Here is an 18436-nt window from a genome sequence, read left to right as displayed (position 1 = left end):
CCTACTTTTCCATCCACTGCCCTCACCCTGGTTCAGACTTTCATTCCCTCCCTCCTTCACTGGTGCAATGGCTTCCTTAAGCCAACGCCTAAACAGTCCAGAAGCTCAGTTATGATCGTCTCACTTCCCTGCTCCTCCAATGGAGGAGACTTTCAATGGCTTCAGTGAAAACCTGCACCAGCTTCCCTCTGCCTATCCAAATCCCTCTCCGGGGCATTCAAGGTCTCCAATGCCTTGGTCAAAAAAGGATGCTTCTTCCTTTCATCTTACTGCCTCCCTGCTCAGAGAGAATGCTCTAAAAGGAGATCACTCCACAGGCTTCGCAGACTTTTCTCATGCTCTTCTCTCCCTCTGGAAGGCTCTCTGCCCACCCATCCTGACACAGCTGAAATACTCCAAAGTCTAGTTCGACACCACTTCCTTTATAAAGTCTTCCCAGTGCCCCCACGACAGATGTTCTCTCACCTCCTTGTGAAGTCTCTGAAGTCACGTACACCCCTCCTGTGCATTCCGCTTTTGCGTGCTAGTCTTCGTGTACTTATCTTCCTTGGAAGGGCCTACACTCCTTTCAAGGCTATAGATTTCCACCTTGATCTCCCCTGACACTTAACACAGAATGCAGTCAATGCTCGGTAAATACTTGCTGAATTAAGGAATTAATGGAATTTGAGATACTTGCATGGTGTAATTACAGGCCTGTCCATTCTAAAAGTCAGGCTGTGAAGGCACAGGGAAAACCAAGGTGAGGATCCTTGGGTCCTCAGGCCAACCCAGCCCTAAGTGGATTCTAGGATCTTCGGCACGTCCTCAGCTTCCTGTCTCTGAAGTGTGCGTGTGGGGTTTCTGCCTAGGCTAAGTGATCCTTAGGGGTCCCCCCGCTCTAAAATTCAGGCAAATTGACCTGTTTGTCTCATAGTAAGAAATAAGCTTCTCTTAAAACCTAATTTAAGACTAACTTTAAAATGTATATGAAATAATGATCACACGTATCTCAGTTTTGAAATCATGAGATCTGAAGAAAAATAAGCATTAATATTATAACCACATATTTCTGAAACTTAATGACTATTTTCTGCTTTTAATCCTCCCACAAATTCACCCTTTGATGGGTGAAAGAAAGATCTAACTGTGAGACTTTGTTACTTTGGTAACAAATTTCACTATTTATAATTTGTTTTAATGACAGGAATAAGACTAGAGTAATTCTGCTGTAATTGAAAACAGTATTAATATAATGTCCTATCCAAGAAGAATCCAAAATTTACATTTCAAAACATGTACATGTCTATTATTTCATTATCAAGGTTGTAACATTTACCAAATGTTAACAAAATTAAGTAGTTGCAGATTCCATTCAATCTAAAACAAAGACACAAAGAACAGGCAGGTGGTCGGGGGAAAAAGAGGGAATTAGGATACAATGAGATCTAATACTGTCCTAAAAACGGGTAAGTGCTGTTCGTGGAAAGGACAGAGAGAGAGAGAGATGTTTTAAAGTCATTTTCAAAGGAAAACTAAGAGTTGGGCCCTCCACACATTCAAATTTCTTTATTCAGGGAAGGGCTAGATACAAAACACTCATCTCAAAAATCACCAATCTATTAATAATTCAGCCATAAAGTAGCAGTTTTTGAAATAAATGAGTTTAAAGTCAACCAATAGTTTTTATACTAGTTTTCATGCTAAAAAAAAAAAAAGAAAGAAAGAAAAGAAAACCACAAAAACCTTTATTTAGAAAACCTTCGGGTCAGAAAAATACTTATGAAATTCTTAATCATCATTCACTTAGCAGAGAGCAGTGGCTCCCTTGGGCACAGAGGGCACCCTGCTTCTACAAAGTGCACGCCACAGCCAAACATATCCCTCCACACAAAACCAGAATGCCACCAGAAAAACTGCGACATGCCCTGCCTTCAGGCGGTCGCTATTATTTGAAAACGCAGAAGTCAGCATTTGTGGGCTATTTTGTAGTCAGTAGCACCACTGCAGGCTGGGTCAGGCTCGAGAGGAACCTCCATTGCCAGGATCCCCGGAAAGAATGACCGCCTCCCGACTCAAGCCCTGAGCTTGACGCCCTGCTGCCGGGCAGAGCAACATTAATGAGAAGAAAAAACATCCTTCCTCAAAGTCAGGTAATTTTTCACTTGGGTCTCTTTCCCCTTCCCAGAGAGATGTGAGACTTGACAAGTTTGTAAGTAGGCTTTAAGTTGGAAAAACAGAGCACGGGATGATACTACACAAGGAAAAAACATGGAGCCTGCCCAAAATTAAATGTTTCAATGGGGAATCCTAATAAAACATGTACCTTGATGCAGTTCATTAACCACTTAATTTATTAAAGTTTTACTCCCCTACAAAAGGTATAAGAAGCCAAGGGAGTGAAATATTCGATTAATAGTACTGATTATTGTCTATTTAAAAGATAAGAAATCCAAGCTAGCAAAAGCATAGTTATAAATAATAATCAAAATAAATACTTGGTTCATGAAAACGCCAAAAAGAGCTACTAAAGAGTCCTTCGCATTCTATTCTGACTTGGATTTAAACTGTGTGTAACCCACACATTTAAAGGATGTGCATCTCAAATCCTGGAGGACTGCGGGAGAAAATTTAAATTTCAGATTTAAATGGCTGGCAAAATTTTAAAACAAATGTAATGAAAACCCAAGTTTTCATTCCTTCTATTGCTTGGCACATTTTCCCTGGAAATCCCCAGACACATTTTGTTCAGGAAACAAAGAACTCCAAGATTGAGACAATTCTTTGCTAACTCAAAAAAAAAAAAAAAAAAAAAAGCGAAAATAGATTTTCAGGATGCCCCATAAATAAATAAATGAATCTAAGCAGAAAACAGGTTGCAACTCGAGTAGTCCCTGCCTTCAAAACTGCTTGCAAAACAAAACTCCCTGGAGCGCATTCAGGTTGCTCCTCCCAGGCCTAGGGCCACAACGCCTGGTAAATAACGTCCCGGCGCTCAGGGCCTCTTTCCCAAAAGCCCGACGTGGGAACAACTAGCAGGGGGCGGGGAGGTGGGGCGGGCTGCAAAACGCGCACGGCTCACGTGGGCATCTAGAGTCCAGCTCCCGAGACCCGGTCAAAGCAGGGACAGGATCTCTTCCCCACCCACCCAAATGACGCCCTCGGTCTGTTTCCGCTGGGATCCGGAGAAGCTGACCCTCTCACCGGGGGGTCTTCCCGGGGCGCCTAGGCCAGGGCGGGCCCCCAGCGTCGTCCTCTCCCACCCCCCCACTCCCCTGCCCACACATTCTGGATCAAAGCAGACATGCGGCCGGCGCTCTGCGATCCAAGGCACACTGGGGTCTTTCATCCGGTGTTTTTAAAAAGGAGGAAACAAAAGGCTCAGAGGCAGGGCCCCAGGTGCGCTCGCCCGCGGGGGCTGCGGCGCGGACGACCGAAGGTAACAGGCACGTCCCGGCCGAACTTCGAGACCCGGGCCCGGCAGCCGCCCCGGCGGGGAAGTTTCGTTTCCCGGACAGGGGAAGCCGAAGCGCCTCCTCGGGACAGGACCCCGCGCCGCCGGGACGCGCAGCCTTGATACAAACGTCCTTGGGTGGCCGAGGAGTCCAGGAGTCGTTGCAGTCGTGGTCTCGGGGTTACTGGGGATTGGGGGTGAGCCGGTAGAGACTGCGGAGCCCCGAGCACCACTCGGCCACCAGACAGGACCGGGGCCCCGCTCCTTTCCTCTTTTACTTTGATTACGGTTGGAGAGGTTGGGTTTTGTGGTCGCAGCCCCACCTCGCCTGACCTCCCATTCGCGGGCTGGGACAAAGGCGGCTGCAGCCGTGTCCAGCAGGCAGGGGACAGCCCCGCGCGGGCCCGACGCCCCCTCTGACCACCCGCCCGGGCTCGCGGGAGGGGAGAAAGGTACGACCGAGTCCCTGTTCGCAGGACAGGGGCCAACCTGTCCCCGCACGCGTCAGGACACCCGGTCCTGCTCCCAGCGCGGCCGGGAAGTTCTTTCGGGACCTGGGGCAAAAAAACCTTTCCACCTTCGGGACCCGAGTCTCCCAGTCGTCCAGAGGAGGACGGTCCCTCCCTGTCCCGCGAGCCCCGCAGCCCGCGCTCTCCGGGCAGGTACCCACCAGTAGCCGTCCGAGTTCTGGTCGGTGATCACGCCGCGCCGAGAATAGTACATCCTGCTGGTGCCCCCGCCGCCGCTGGTCACCTCGTAGCGCAGGTCCGGGCCAGACTCGGCGCGGATCATGCGGCCCAGAGTGTTGATCCGCGGGTGGGAGCCTCCGTTGCAGCTCATGTCGGCGGGCAATCGGGAGAGCGGCTCAGCGCCGAGGCATAAGCGAGGCGGGCCGGCGCGGAGAAAGCGGAGGGGGCCAAGGATAGGCGGACGGCCGGGGAACCGGGCGGGAGTGCGGAAGGCTCGCGAGGTCGCTGCTCGCTACCTGGGCCCTCCCGAGGCCGCTGCGAGCGCGGAGACGGCGACGGGCCGGGGGCAGGAGCGGGAGGAAAGCTGTGGCTCGGAGGGCGGCAAGGGCGCAGAGGAGCTGCGTCGGAGCTGGGTGTTGGTGTTGGTCGGCGGCGGAGCGAGTCTCCTCCCCGCTGGCACTGGGCGCCTAGGCCACACCTGGCCGGTTTCTTCCCAGGGTGGGGTGCGGCCGCCGCGCCTTCCCCGCCCCCCCGCGGGTGTCACCGACGCGCTCCGGCCGCCCCTCCCCACCTGCGCCCGCCGCCCGCGACTCCGCCCTGCGCCACCGAGGCCTGAGTAACACCGGGCGGGGCGGGGGCGGGGTCCCCGAGACCCAAGCGCCCTGGGCGAAGCCACCGCGGGGAGGACCTGCGCTCGCGGGGGCTGCTGCGCTCTGCGCTGGGGCCTCTCGGGCTGGGAATGCGTGGCCCGGCTTTTGAGGATTTCCTCGGTCCCCGGGCGGAAATAGCTGGAATGGAGGGGCCTCTCGATTGGAGACTTACTGGTCAAATATTTACTTTTGTTGATCACTGGAAACGCTACCTACCACGCATTGACTAGGACCACAGTGAGGAGGGAACGCTTTAGATGATAGAGTTTTGTTTGGGGGCTTTTTTTTGTTTTGTTTTATTCCAGGAATTCAGGAAATTGCCCCAGAAGTCCGATTTCTGATGTGTAAAACCTTTTTTTACAGAAAACCACGACTTCCTGGAAAAGTCTTCACCGTAAATATTAATCTCTTTGGCATGAAGAGGAAAACACTGCAGCTAATTTTTCATGGGATAACAAAAATATAAACTGCAATTTCTTTTATTTTTTCCCTTTCGATGGTCTTTTTAAACGAGGAGTAAAGATTTCAACGCCAGGTCCATTTTCCAAATTTTGTACCAGAACCTTGAGGATGCTTGTCTCTCGCGCGCTTCTCCGCAGACCGAACCCTCTCCGGAACTCAGAGCTGTTCACCCAAGTCAGCGGAGGAGGCCTCCTGGGACTTGAGCCTGAGGGTGGCGAAGAACCCTAGGCAGAGATCATCAACTTGGTACCGATGAGTGACGCGGAGCTTGAACATTCCAGCGACTTGCTCCAGGGCCACTCCCAGTTAAGAGGCTGAGTGTTAACTGCAAGAGGCTGAGTGTTAACTACGCCGTTGGCTCCAGGAACCGAACCGGGTTTGGATACAGACCCAGTCACACCATCCATGAAAAGCTGTTTCTATAATATGAAAAATTGTTAAATGACGCTTTAGTAAAAGCCATTTAAAGATCTTTTCTAATAAATTTTTCATCTTTCCAAACAATGCCGCTAATTACCTTCTGATACAGTGCGTTTCCAAAATGTTTATGAACTGAAAACAAAAATAAAAAACTACATTTTTATGTTGTAAAGGGAGTGGGGGGGACTTTCTAAAATTTGTCGTATTATAGCACTTCTCATGACAACTTGACCCTTTAGGCATAATTTTTGACAAAATGTCTTGTTCTTTTTCTTTTTACAGCTGAACGTCTTAAATTCAAGGAGTAAACACATATAATGAGATAAAAGTTTATCACTGTTAGCACAACCAATAATTTGCATCGTAGTCTCAATTTCCTCGAATCTTTAATAAAACCAAAGTGGTCAAGTGTTTAAATGATTATACAGATTGAGTACCCCTTATCCAAAATGCTTGGGACCAGAAATATTTTGGATTCTGGATTTTCTTGGATTTTGCAATAGTTGCATAGACGTAACGAGAGATCTTTGGGGATGGAACTCAAGCCTAAACATGAAATTTATTTATGTTTTCTATATGCCTTATACACATGGCCTGAAGGTAATTTTATACAATATTTTAGATAATTTTGTGCATGAAACAAAGTTTTGACTGCACTTTGACTGCAAGTCATCACATGAGGTCAGGTGTGGAATTCGCCACTTGTGGTCATCATGTCAGTGCTCAGAAAGTTTGGATTTGGGAGCATTTTGGATTTCAGATTTTCAGATTAGGGATGCTCAACCTGTACAAACACTGATCTATAGACAAGACGGTGGTTTTTCTCAAACAGAATCAATGGCTGGAAGTCAGCCTCTGCACAAACAGCCCATAATATCCATTGGTGGAGGAGAGAAAGACATGCATGGAGGGAAAATGTCAGTGCATAATGTACAACATTTCATTTAGGATGTTTTCCCTCTATGCATCTCATTTGTTCAGCAAATAATTATAACCTAGGATATGGAAATACTCTGCAACATACAAAGATAAATAGGGTCCAGTCACTGCCCTTAAATATATTATAGTAAAACTTTGATTTAAGAAATTCAGGGGCCCGTGCGGTGGCTCATGCCTGTAATCCCAGCACTTTGGGAGGCAGAGGCGGGTGGATCACTTGAGGTCAGGAGTTCGAGACCAGCCTGGCCAACATGATGAAACCCCATCTCTACTAAAAATACAAAAATTAGCTGGGTGTGGTGGCAGGCGCCTGTAATCCTAGCTGTTTGGGAGGCAAAGGCACGAGTATCACTTGAATCCAGGAGGTGGAGATTATATTGAGCAGAGATCGTGTCATTGCACTGCAGCCCAGGTAACAGAGCAAGACTCTGTCTCAAAAAAAAAAAAAAAAAAAAAATTCAGGGATTATTCTTCCCTAATGTGTAATAAAGAGGCTACACAATTGCACGGTAGAATTATCCTTTTAAAAAAAACCCACATATCTATTAACCACCCCCCCAGTGGTAACAAAAGCTCTTGTTAGCCAAGGGTCCCCTTACGGTCATAGGAACCAGGCTCCACACAGACCCAAACACCACCCAGACTCACAAAACTGTTCAATCTGCAGGCAAAACAGAGGAGGAGGCGAAGAGCCCACGCCACCAATCACACCTCTGGCTGCGTTGCTTCCTCACCCATCTTACTGCTTCCTGGGCTTTTCCAGGCATCCCCAAGAACACGAACGGCTTCCAGCTACCAAACATGCCTGCTCTAGGAAGACAGTGGCTTTCATTTATCTTTCTCTAAGGGTGATAAAGAAAGATAAGAGGATAAAATAAACAGATTGACATGCCCGACAGATGGAACACCCCCCACCTCAACACACACCCACACACATGCACATACACACACACACACATCAGTTGTCCAGGTTGGCTCATCACACAGTGAAGAGCGAGGATAACTTGCCCATAGTTATAATCTTAGTGCTACAATTTACTTATGCAAGAGCTCAATTTCTTCATGTGTATAATGGAAATAACACTTGCTCTGCCAACCTTCCAAATCCACAGTGAGGGTCAAATGAGATAAAATACGTGAACATTCTTGAACACTGTGAAACATATAAAGCTTAAGGTACCACCTGTTAAGCCAAAAGTTCTTTGCTGGATGCGAAATTTTAACCGTTAATGTTCCTGTCTTTATCCCACATGTAAATCAGTAAACCTCCCTCTTGGACACATTTAAGATGCATTCATTTAGAAAGCAGTTATTGAACATCTACCATGTTACACAACAGATTCAATGCTAGACACATGAAGATGAATAAAGCATGACTCTTTTTCTGCAGGATATCAAAGTCTGCAGTAGTAAAACAAATAATTACAATACAACATTAAGTATGCTATAATGAAGGTATATTTATAGAATTTTGAAAGCGCAGCAAAGAGGTTTAAAAGTAGCTTGTTTTCTTACAACTTGGTTTAAAAAATCAGAATCCAAAGTCTGGCAGAGTCTTCACTGGCTGACCTAAGGTCAGCTATTTTTTCCCTGCCACTCATAGATAGCTCCCCTTGTACTGATAAAACAGATCACTGACAGGCAACTTTCTCTCTGGCTGACCTTAGAAATCACCTTGCAGTTAGGAAAGACGAATCAGTCATATTCAGAGCAGATTTTTAAAAGAAAACGACACTTTGATTTCAGTGAGATTAAGAAGAATCATTTACTTGCTCAAAATCCCATGGGAACTCTCTATATCTTTGTGTTGGTAAATGATACCTCTTCATCACAAGAAGATTTATAGCCCATGAGTTAAAATAACTGTTCTGCCTAACAGAGGAGTAGTTCTGGGGTTTTTGTTTTGTTTTGTTTTGTTTGAGACAGAGTCTCACACTTGTCGCCCAGCCTGGAGTGCAGTGGCATGATCTTGGCTCACTACAACCTCTGCCTTCTGAGCTCAAGTCATCCTCCTGCCTCAGCCTCCCCAGTAGCTGAGACTATAGGCGCACACCACCACACTGGACTAATTTTTGTATTTTTTGTAGATACAGGATTTCACCTTGTTGCCCAAGCTGATCTGGAACTCCTGGGCTCGAGCAATCCACCCACCTTGGCCTCCCAAAGTGCTGGGATTACCGGCATGAACCACAGTGCCCGGCCAAGGAGTAGTATTTTAATAAGTCAAAATTACAGGCAGAAGCTAGGATTGGAACCATAATGTGAAGGAAAAGAAAATGCCTGTTAAAATGTCAGACAATTAAAATCTTAATAATAAAATGGATATGTATATTTTACTCTTTCTTTTCTCTTCCATTTGTCTGAATAAATTAGAATCCTCCAGAAATAATGAATCTAGGATCTGAATTATCACAAAAATAAGATTGGTCTCTCCTAATTAAAATTGTCAAAATGAAGAAAGCTGTTTGACAAAGCTCGTTTCAAAAATAGGAAAATGTTTGTAAAATATATACATTAACCCCAAACTATCTTTGGTTTACTTGGTTTAAGTGTCATTCAGGAACAGGGGAGTTTGTCTGTTTGCAGTGATTTTTCATTTTTGCTGGGGGAGGGTACTTAACTTTGTGGAAATTAAATAGCTCAAAGGAACTTCTCATTTTTTGTCACTGAAGTGATGAGTTTTTATTGTTATTGTTGTTGCCATTTGGTTTGTGTTTGGCACAGGTAAATTGTGCTATCCATTGTGCTTTAAGAATATGTTTTTTGGGCCGGGCACGGTGGCTCATGCCTGTAAGCTCAGCACTTTGGGAAGCCGAAGCAGGAGGATAACTTGAGCCCAGGAGTTTGAGACCAGCCTGGGCAATATAGTTAGACCCCCTTCCTACAAAAATACAAAATACAAAACTTAGCCTGGCATGGCCGTATACACCAGCTACTGGGGAGACTAGAGTGGGAAGATCGCTTGAGCCTAGGAGGTCGAGGCTGCGGTGAGCCAAGATTGAGCGATTGCACTCCAGCCTGGGTGACAGAGTGAAACCCTGTCTCCAAAAAGAAAAAAAATAGAGTAAGTTTTTGACTGCTTTTCATTGGATAGCATGGATATTGGGGATTCATCCATACTTTCCTGCCTGATCCTGTTTTCATGTAGCACCCAGATTTGCAAGATGCGAGGCTGGAGGTTAAAGTTCCCGGTGAGGGCAAGTACCGCTATGGACCACAGAGGAGCCACTCACACCCATGGCCAAGTGACATCTAAAGCTAAACAATAACTCCCACTTACTTTAGTGGGTAAGCCACACAGTCAATAAATATAATACAACAGCCAAGTAAGTTTACCTTTTGAAAATACTTTGGAAGTAATTTTCTAAGCTTATCATGATTGTGAGGGACTCTCAATCTATAGAACATGCTAGGATTGGAACACTTACTCAAACTTATATATATACAAATGCAAGATGCAGATTATTGCTAGTAAACCCAGTTATCAGCAAACACCACATGGAGATATAATGTGCTAATGGTTACGTGAAGAAACTTTTGAATAGCTAATCATCCTTTACTGAAGGCACTCAACATTTATATTCCATAGAGAATTTCAGAAACAGAAGCTTGCTTAAAACATTTTTGCACCAGTTATTTAAAAACTGGTAAAGCCTCAGAACTCATTCTCCAAATGAAACCCCCTGAGCATGGCCACCAGTGGAAACAGATCATGGTGGTGCCAGAGTGGTTGTAGGACACTTCCCACCCGCTGCACCTGGACCACACGTGCTCTGTCCAGGAAAGCATGTCCCCAATGTAAGCACTATATAAACCAGAACTCACCTTTTAATAAAGAGAAAATAGTGAGTCCTGGAGAAGTTAAGAAACGTCCGTGAGTTACTTGATACCTAAAATAGCAGAATTCCATCTGTTTCTAGTCTCATGCCCTTTCCATTATGTCAAAATTCCTGTCCCATCAGTCATGAAAGAACACATTTCTGAGCAATGATTTGGTATCAACTTGAAACCAAGAAATTATCCCATCAATTGTTATTTTCTTACTTTTTTTCCGGAGACAGGGTCTTGCTCTGTTGCCCAGGCTGGAGTTCAATGGGGCAATCCGGATTCACTACACCCTAACTGTCTAGGCTCAAGCGATTCCCCCACCTAGCCTCCTGAGTAGGTGGGACCACAGACATGTGCCACCACATCCAGCTAATTTTTTTATTATTGGTAGAGGTGAGGTCTCACTATGTTGCCCAAGCGGGTCTTGAACTCCTGGCCTCAAGTGATCCTCCTGCCTCAGCCTTCCAAAGTGCTGAGTTTACAAGCATGAGCCACTACACCCAACCTCAATTGTTATTTTCCTCCACTAGAGTAATAAGCCTGCTTTGCAGAAGTCACACCAAAATGCATTACAGTTATTATTGAATTAATGAATTTATTTATTTATTATCTATTTTTAGAGATCTCACTATGTTGCCCAGGCTGGCTTCAAACTCCTGGGCTCAAGTGATCTTCCCACATCCAGCTACTCTTATTTTTTTTAGTTGTATTCCCAAAGCTGTGGTGATTTTCTTGGTGTCCTCAAATTACAGTGCATGTATTTGCATGTTTTGTTTTGTTTTGTTTTGTTTGAATGTAGCTTCCATTGTTAAGAAAAAATGAAATTAGAGATTCATATACTAAACATCATGAAATCAAAATGGACACTAAGACATAAATGATCTGACTTTGGATGATTGTAATGCCAACGAAATGTAACCTGGTTTCCAAAGTGACCACCTTTCAAAATCTTAGGCATCAGCAACAACAAATTTCATAAACCATTTGTTTCTTATCATCATGAGCTAGTTATTGCACATACATTGTTTCCCTGCTACAGATAGAGGTGTAGGTATACGGGAGACTAAAGAATAAGAAAAACGTCCAGATTTCTGTCTTCACTGATCTTAACATTTAAAGCAGGAGACAAAATATCAAACAACCCACTGGTTATAATAGCAACACACAGAAAATGAACATCTAGGCCAGGTACAGTGGCTCACGCCTATAATCCCAACACTGGGAGGCCAAGGCAGGCAGATCACTTGAGGACAGGAGTTTGACAGCAACCTAGACAACATAGCGAGACTTCATCTCTACAAAAAATACAAAAATTAGCTAGCATGGTGGCGCGCACCTGTGGGCCCAGCTACTCAGGAGGATCACCTGAGCCTGGGAGGCAGCGGCTGCAGTGAGCTGAGATCACCACTGCACTCCATCCTGGGCATCAGAGCAAGACCCTGTCTCAAAGAAAAGAAAAAAGAAAGTGATCATTTAAATAGAGCAGGAGCTGGGGGAAGGTCATCTTTAGTTTCAAGTTTCAACTGACTCCCCTCATCTAGGGTCCCAAAAAGTTTGGGGTTTTTTGGTTTGTTTTTGTTTTTATGGTTGTTTTGTTTTTTTGTTTGTTTGTTTTTGCTTTTTTTTTTTTTTTTTTGTCAGAAGCTTGGTAAGATCACAGATCACAGGGAAGAAACCCTATTCAAACTCCTCATCTTATCCTACACTGGCTAAGAGAAGTGAGGCCATGAGAAAGAACCTGCATTACTTGCCAAGGCCCAAGTCTGTAAAGGGCAAAGCCCAGATTGGAGCTGAGAGCTCACACAGCAAATCAATTAATAGGCTTGCTTAGAAGGATGTACCTGAAGTTAGGATGTTTTTTCCTCCTGCTTATAAAAGTCTATGTATTTGCTGTAAAATACTCAGAAAAGGCAGAAGGGAATGGAGAGAAGCAAAGAAAAGCAAAGCAAATTATCAACCAGACAAGGTGATCATTCTAAATATTTTTGGAAGGTTCCTTCCAGTTTTTTCCCCTAATGAACTTTTTAACCAACCAATGTCAGGTTATATACAAGTTTGTATTCAGCTCTTTTTTTTTTTTTTTTTTTTTTTGGAGACAGAGTCTCGCTCTGTCACCCTGGCTGGAGTACAGTGGTATGATCTTGGCTCACTGCAACTTCTGCCTCCCAGGTTCAAGCAATTCTTCTGCCTCAGCCTCCCTAGTGGCTGGGACTACAGGCTCCTGCCACCACGCCCGGCTAATTTTTGTATTTTTAGTAGAGACAGGGTTTCACTATGTTGGCCAGGCTGGTCTCAAACTCCTGACCTCAGGTGATCCACCTGCCTCAGCCTCCCAAAGTGCTGGGATTACAGGTGTGAGCCACCACGCCCGGCCTCAGCTTCTTAGTTGATCATAATATCATGAGCATTTTCCAACCTCGTGTAAATGTCTTGTTAGCATTGCTTTTAAAGGTGCATAATATTTCCTGGTGGCATTTGATTTTTTAAAAAGGCTCTGAAAGTGACAAGGTACAGATCCTGGAGCTTTTTTTTTTTTTTTGAGACAGGGTTTTGCCGTGTTGTCCAGACTGGTCTCAAACTCCTGAGCTCAAGCGATACCACCGAAGTGCTGGAACTACAGGCATGAGCCACCACACCCAGCCGGTTCTGGAGCTTTCCATGCGAGTGATCCACTCCTGTTCTAGAACTTTTCACATCAATGGCAAATAGCATTCGCTATGGATGGGAAACAGGAAGGGGTGAGGCAGTGGCAATCACTGAGTGGCAGGAGTTACAACCACCACCAAATGGTGTTTAGGAAAACAATCCAGCCCTGCGGGGTGCAGACAATTCCTTGTAGAATCTTCCCAGCAATCCTTCCTTAGACCTCAATGAAGGGTGGGTTGCAAACGTCAGAAACAGGAGAGTTTCCTCCTTAAACTTTGAGAAATTCACCAGCCATTCATACTTAGGAAACTCTAAGAAAACCGGCATACTTCTACTTTCTTTAACCAGCTCCTCACAATTTAATAAATTAACTTCCAAATGAGAAAGCATCCCTTCAGCAAGAGCTGGATTCAAGAAAAAGTCGTGCAAATCAGGAGAACAGCCCCAGGGATTGTTTCTTCTCCAATAATAAGTTAATATACGTGACAGCAGATTTAACCTGATTCAATGTGTGCATTTTTTACTAATTTGCAGAATTTTAATCTGAAACATTTAAACCATGCTGGCTTGAGACAGAAACATTTCCAATATAGGAAGAAGTTATAGCACAGTTCCACAGCAGTTTCATCAAACCCGTGAAGCAGTTCTGTCTTGCAAAGGTGGGTGTGGAGCGGCACACTTCACTCTCGTTAAACCTGTCCGACGGCTCCTTGAGTTTTAACTGCTTAGCAGTTTGGCTTCAGGTGGAAATGAACAAAGCAACTCGGAGTCCTTTCCCACCAAGGCACACAGAAGAAACATCACCATCATCTCTAAACAGGTTTTTATTTTGCTTTACTGAATAAGGAAAAAATAATCTCATGATCTAAAATTGGAATTTCTGTGTTCTTAAAACAAAAATCAATATTTTTATTTCATGTGTCTCTGAGACAATAGAAAACATACAAAGGAGGCTTTTGAAAACCTCTAACTACAGAGGGGCTTGTCTTTAGAAGAGGGACTTACATTAATATAAAATATACCTTGATCCCAGAGTTCCCAAAAATAAGTTAAAAAATGAGTGTGTTCATATAAACATAGATGTGGAAAGAAGGCAAAATATATTGTAAAGTTGTTTAGAAAGCAATTTTTAAACCATATATGTAGTATGGTCAGACTTTTTTTACACTGAAAATTATATGTTAGAAGAGACAGATAAAGGATCTTGAGGCATAGGGGTTATCACTGGAAGATGGATATACAGGATTATTTGTTAGGGTATGCCTTTCGAATCATAGATTTTAAAAATAAAGATATGTGATTTTGTTGGGAAAAGGTAATTTCCTTTTCCTTACCAAAGTGAGGTATTGGGATCTCACCAATATCTGAGTCTTTAAAATCTGATATCACTATGAGAAAAATAATTGAATTGTAATTCAATTCATTTGTACAGCACCTTACCGGGTGTTTTGGGGTTTTCTGCACAGATATTTTATTGCAGTAAAATATAAATAACACAATTTATCTTTTTAATCATTTTAAGTGTACAGTTCTGTGATCTTAAGTACATTCACATTGTTGTGCAATCATCACCACGATCCATTTCTAGAACTTTTTCATCATCTCAAATAGAAACTGTCCCCATTAAACACTAACTCACAGCTAGGCCCGATGGCACACACCTGTAATCTCAGCACTTTGGGAGGCTGAGGCAGGCGGACCACTTGAGCTCAGGAGTTTGAGACCAGCCTGGATGACAGGGCAAGCCCCCGTCTCTACAGAAATACAGGTGTGCACCTGTAGTCCCAGCTACTTGGGAGGCTGAGGCGGGCGGATCACTTGAGCTCAGGAGGCGGAGGTTGCAGTGAGCTGCGACTGTACTCCAGCCTGGGCGAGAGAGTGAGACCCTGTCTCAAAAACAAAAAAACAAAAACAAAAACCACAAACTCCCCATTCCCCAACTTCAACCACCCCTGGTAACTGCCATTCTACTTTCTGTCTCTATAATATATTTGACTACCCCAGGGACCTCATATGAACACGGAATCACACAGTATTTGTGCTTTTGTGTCTGGCTCATTTCACTTAGCATAACGTCCTCAAGGTTGATCCTTGTTATATCATGTGTCAGAATTTCTCTCCTTTTTAAGGCTAAATAACATTTCACTGTATGAATACACCACATTTTTTTTTACCAGTCATCAATTGATGGACATTTGGATTGCTTCCACTTTTTGGATACTGTAAATAACACTGCTATGTTGTTTTTAAGTAGTAAAATTACTATAAACTTTTCCTTTTTTTTCTTTTTTTTTTTGGGACAGAGTCTCACTCTTGTTGCCCAGGCTGGAGTGCAATGGCACAATCTCGGCTCACTGCAGCCTCCATCTCCCGAGTTCAAGCGATTCTCCTGCCTCAGCCTCTGGAGTATCTGGGAATACAGGCACGTGCCACCACACCGGGCTAATTTTTTTTTTTTTGTATTTTCAGTAGAGATGGGTTTTACCATGTTGGCCAGGCTGGTCTTGAACTCCTAACCTCGGGTGATCCACCAACCTCGGGTGATCCACCCACCTCGGCCTCCCAAAGTGCTGGGATTACAGGCATGAGCCACCGCGCCCAGCCTTAACTTTCATTTTCATTACAATTTCCCCATCACCCAGTGTTAAGAACTGTCTTTTTTTTCCCCTTTGGCTTAGTAGTCTGTTACTATTATTAATTTATCCCCACACTCTCCCCTAGTTGAGTAAAGATTTTCTCAATACATTCATATCAGTTATTCTATTAATTTCATTGCTCAAAGCATTCTTTCCTGGCATCTTCTGGCTGGCTCCAATCTGAACTGGTTGCTCTCCAGACCTGACCTGCTTCTCAGCTGCTGAGGTGGGGTCTCCTTCACCGTCATCCCCTCTGCCTGCTGCGTGTTGGTTGGATCCTCTCTTTTCTGGGTCCAGTGTCTTTTGCTTTCTTGGTTTACTCCTTCAGTGGGGTGGCACACATCTTCCACTGACATGGGAGGTAAAGTTTTTGAGAACCTGTGTGTTTGAAAGTGTCTTTATTCCACTACAAACTTCATTGATCATCTGGCCAGATATCAAATTTAAGTTTGGAAATAATGGCCCCTCAGACTATTGGAAGCATTGCTCCATTATCTGTTGTTTGCAGAATTGCTGTTGAGAAGCCCAAGGCCACTCTGGTCCGTTGTACATTTTATAAAACCTTCAGTGGTGAGGATGTTCCATCACTTTTAGAACATAAATTTGGAGGCATTCAACCTAGATACCCCCTTGTTCGGTCCCCAGTGCAGGAGAAATAGAGTATATTATTATTCTCAGAGAGTTGCTGTGGCCAAGACAAAGGCTCAAAAGATGATACTGCTTGTCCCTGTCATTTCCTCCCCTGCCCTTTCCTCTTCTCATGTTGAAGGTATTTTTTTTTTCTCACTGGAGGAGGATAAATAAACTTTCTATTATGCTGAAAGAGCAGGATTAAGCTTATTTTCTGGGCTCTCAAATCCTCTGAGACAGCCTTCATTTTCACATATTGGAAGTCACCCATCAGGTTGTCTTCAAATCAAACATAACATAGCCCTTTCCACCTTCACAACCCTAGGATCCCTTCCACTGTTTGGGTGTTTTTTGGAGTTCCCCATCTTTTAACTAAATGAACCTCACTGCCCCAAACCAGGCACATCATCTTAATAATAACTCACAACTCTCATTGAAGGTTGACTGTGTGCCAGACACTGTAAATGCTAATTGCACCACGTTTCCTCTTGGTTAATCCTCAAAACAAATCCCACTAGTGCCATCACCGAGCTGGGGTTTACGGAAGGCTATTGGCTTGCCATGAGCTGGTAAGTGCAAAGCTGGGATTCAAATTCAGTTCTTCTCACTCCAAAGAATTAAGCTCTAAACAGTTTTGCTAGGTCGCCTCGGTCAGAAAATATACAACGGGTGGGTAGTTAGTGGTTCTTATCTATCACAGTCCACAGGAGGCAAACACACCAAAAGGTTGACAGTGATGATCTCTGGGTATTGGAATAATATTTTCTTTTTTATCCTTTATTTTCCAAATTTTTGTCTCTGCAATAACTTTCTTGACAGAAAAAATAAAATAAAGACATTTGAGTTACAATATCTTTATCTTTAGAAAAATAAAAACAGTAGACTCCATGGCCGTAATGTTTAACTCAGACTCAATGTCTCCATTGTTGTTTTGTCTGGAATAAGCTGAAAACTCCTCCAGGCAGGAGTGCTGCCCTTCATGACACTGATTATCCTGCCAGGCCCTGGATGACAAACTCTAATAATATATCTACTCCATTCCTCCGCCTACTCAGTCTGCAATTCTATCTGAAAAGTCATCAGGTCTGTCTGTGTCCCACAAGACCTGCGATGGTTTCCCACAACCCCTACCCCACTCAGATGTGCAGAACTGGATTAATCATACGTCATAGCTCATGACACACTCATCTCTGGTCCCTGCATTCCCCATCACCCTATTTGTAAAATAAGATAAAGAACATCCACCAGCTCACCACCCAAAACGAGTGTAATTTATATCCATCTGCTCACCTGAGCGAACTCTCCTGGATATTGAGTTTTTGGTTTACTATTCACTTCCTATTAAGTATATGTGTGTTTTATAGTTTTATCATAAATATACCTATTCTGGAAAACTTTGTTGTTTCATTTTAGTTGTTTTTAACATTGTGAAGGGAGCTTAATGTCGTGTGTAATTCTTGGACTTAACTTGCTTTTTTATTTTTGTTTTTTTATTTTGTTTGTTTGTTTTTGAGATGGGGTCTTGTTCTGTCACCCAGGCTGGAGTGTAATGGTGTGATCTCAGCTCACTGCAACCTCCACCTCGTGGGTTCAAGTGATTCTCGTGCCTCAACCTCCTGAGTAGCTGGGATTAGATGCCCGCCACCACATTCAGCTAATTTCTGTATTTTTAGTAGAGTTAGGTTTAATTAGTTTGGCCAGGCTGGTCTCAAACTCCTGACCTCAAGTGATCTGCCTGCCTCAGCCTCCCAAAGTGGATTACAGGCGTGAGCCACTGCACCCGGCTTTAACTTTCTCACTATTATATTATTCAGATTTATCCACTTTGTTGCGTGTCACTATAAGACCATCTGCCATTTAATGATTTAATAACTTTCCATTGTATGAACGTATTACATTGTATTTATCTTTTCTGCTGTTGATGGACAACTGGTTGATTTATACATTTTTGCTATTACAAAAAGGTCTACTCTGAACATCTTTAGATATGTCTCCTGGGTTTTCTTGTTGGTATATACCCAAGGATGGAAGGTTAGACCATAGAATATATGAATTTTCACATAGAGTATGTCAATTTTCACACACAAAAAGGCCAAAGTGTCG

The 18436-nt window shown here is 43.9% G+C and overlaps 1 protein-coding gene and 1 long non-coding RNA gene across 9 annotated transcripts in view, besides 2 other annotated features; one reads left to right on the top strand and one right to left on the bottom strand.

Annotated features, from left to right (window-relative positions):
• The window catches only part of DSP (desmoplakin), a 45044-nt gene extending 40526 nt beyond the window's left edge, over positions 1 to 4518 (bottom strand). For all 4 annotated transcript variants that reach the window (NM_004415.4, NM_001319034.2, NM_001008844.3 and 1 more), the window contains exon 1: positions 4104 to 4518. In NM_004415.4, coding sequence (NP_004406.2) covers positions 4104 to 4273 — 170 coding nt within the window. In that variant the 5' untranslated portion in view covers positions 4274 to 4518. The remainder of the gene's footprint in view (positions 1 to 4103) is intronic.
• Positions 3106 to 5738, top strand: DSP-AS1 (DSP antisense RNA 1). 5 transcript variants are annotated; one of them, NR_183331.1, is made up of 2 exons: positions 3106 to 3143; positions 5136 to 5738. It is a non-coding gene; the product is annotated as a DSP antisense RNA 1 (long non-coding RNA). The 5 variants fall into 5 exon arrangements; NR_183328.1 differs by lacking the exon at positions 3106 to 3143 and adding an exon at positions 3261 to 3378; NR_183329.1 differs by lacking the exon at positions 3106 to 3143 and adding an exon at positions 3261 to 3418.
• Positions 6530 to 9308: an enhancer, noted in NCBI's record as "VISTA enhancer hs2285". NCBI's record gives its function as "enhancer in: heart[4/4]" and the evidence as "EXISTENCE:transgenic organism evidence [ECO:0001131][PMID:17130149]".
• Positions 12963 to 13508: an enhancer, noted in NCBI's record as "OCT4-NANOG hESC enhancer chr6:7532914-7533459 (GRCh37/hg19 assembly coordinates)". NCBI's record gives its function as "activates a minimal SCP1, AML or CMV promoter by ChIP-STARR-seq in naive H9 embryonic stem cells {active_cell/tissue: H9 hESC(naive)}" and the evidence as "EXISTENCE:reporter gene assay evidence [ECO:0000049][PMID:30033119]".

The sequence above is a fragment of the Homo sapiens genome, chromosome 6 (genome assembly GCF_000001405.40).
Source record: "Homo sapiens chromosome 6, GRCh38.p14 Primary Assembly".
Taxonomy (NCBI): Eukaryota; Metazoa; Chordata; class Mammalia; order Primates; family Hominidae; genus Homo; species Homo sapiens.
This window is presented reverse-complemented; position numbering and strand designations above follow the sequence as displayed.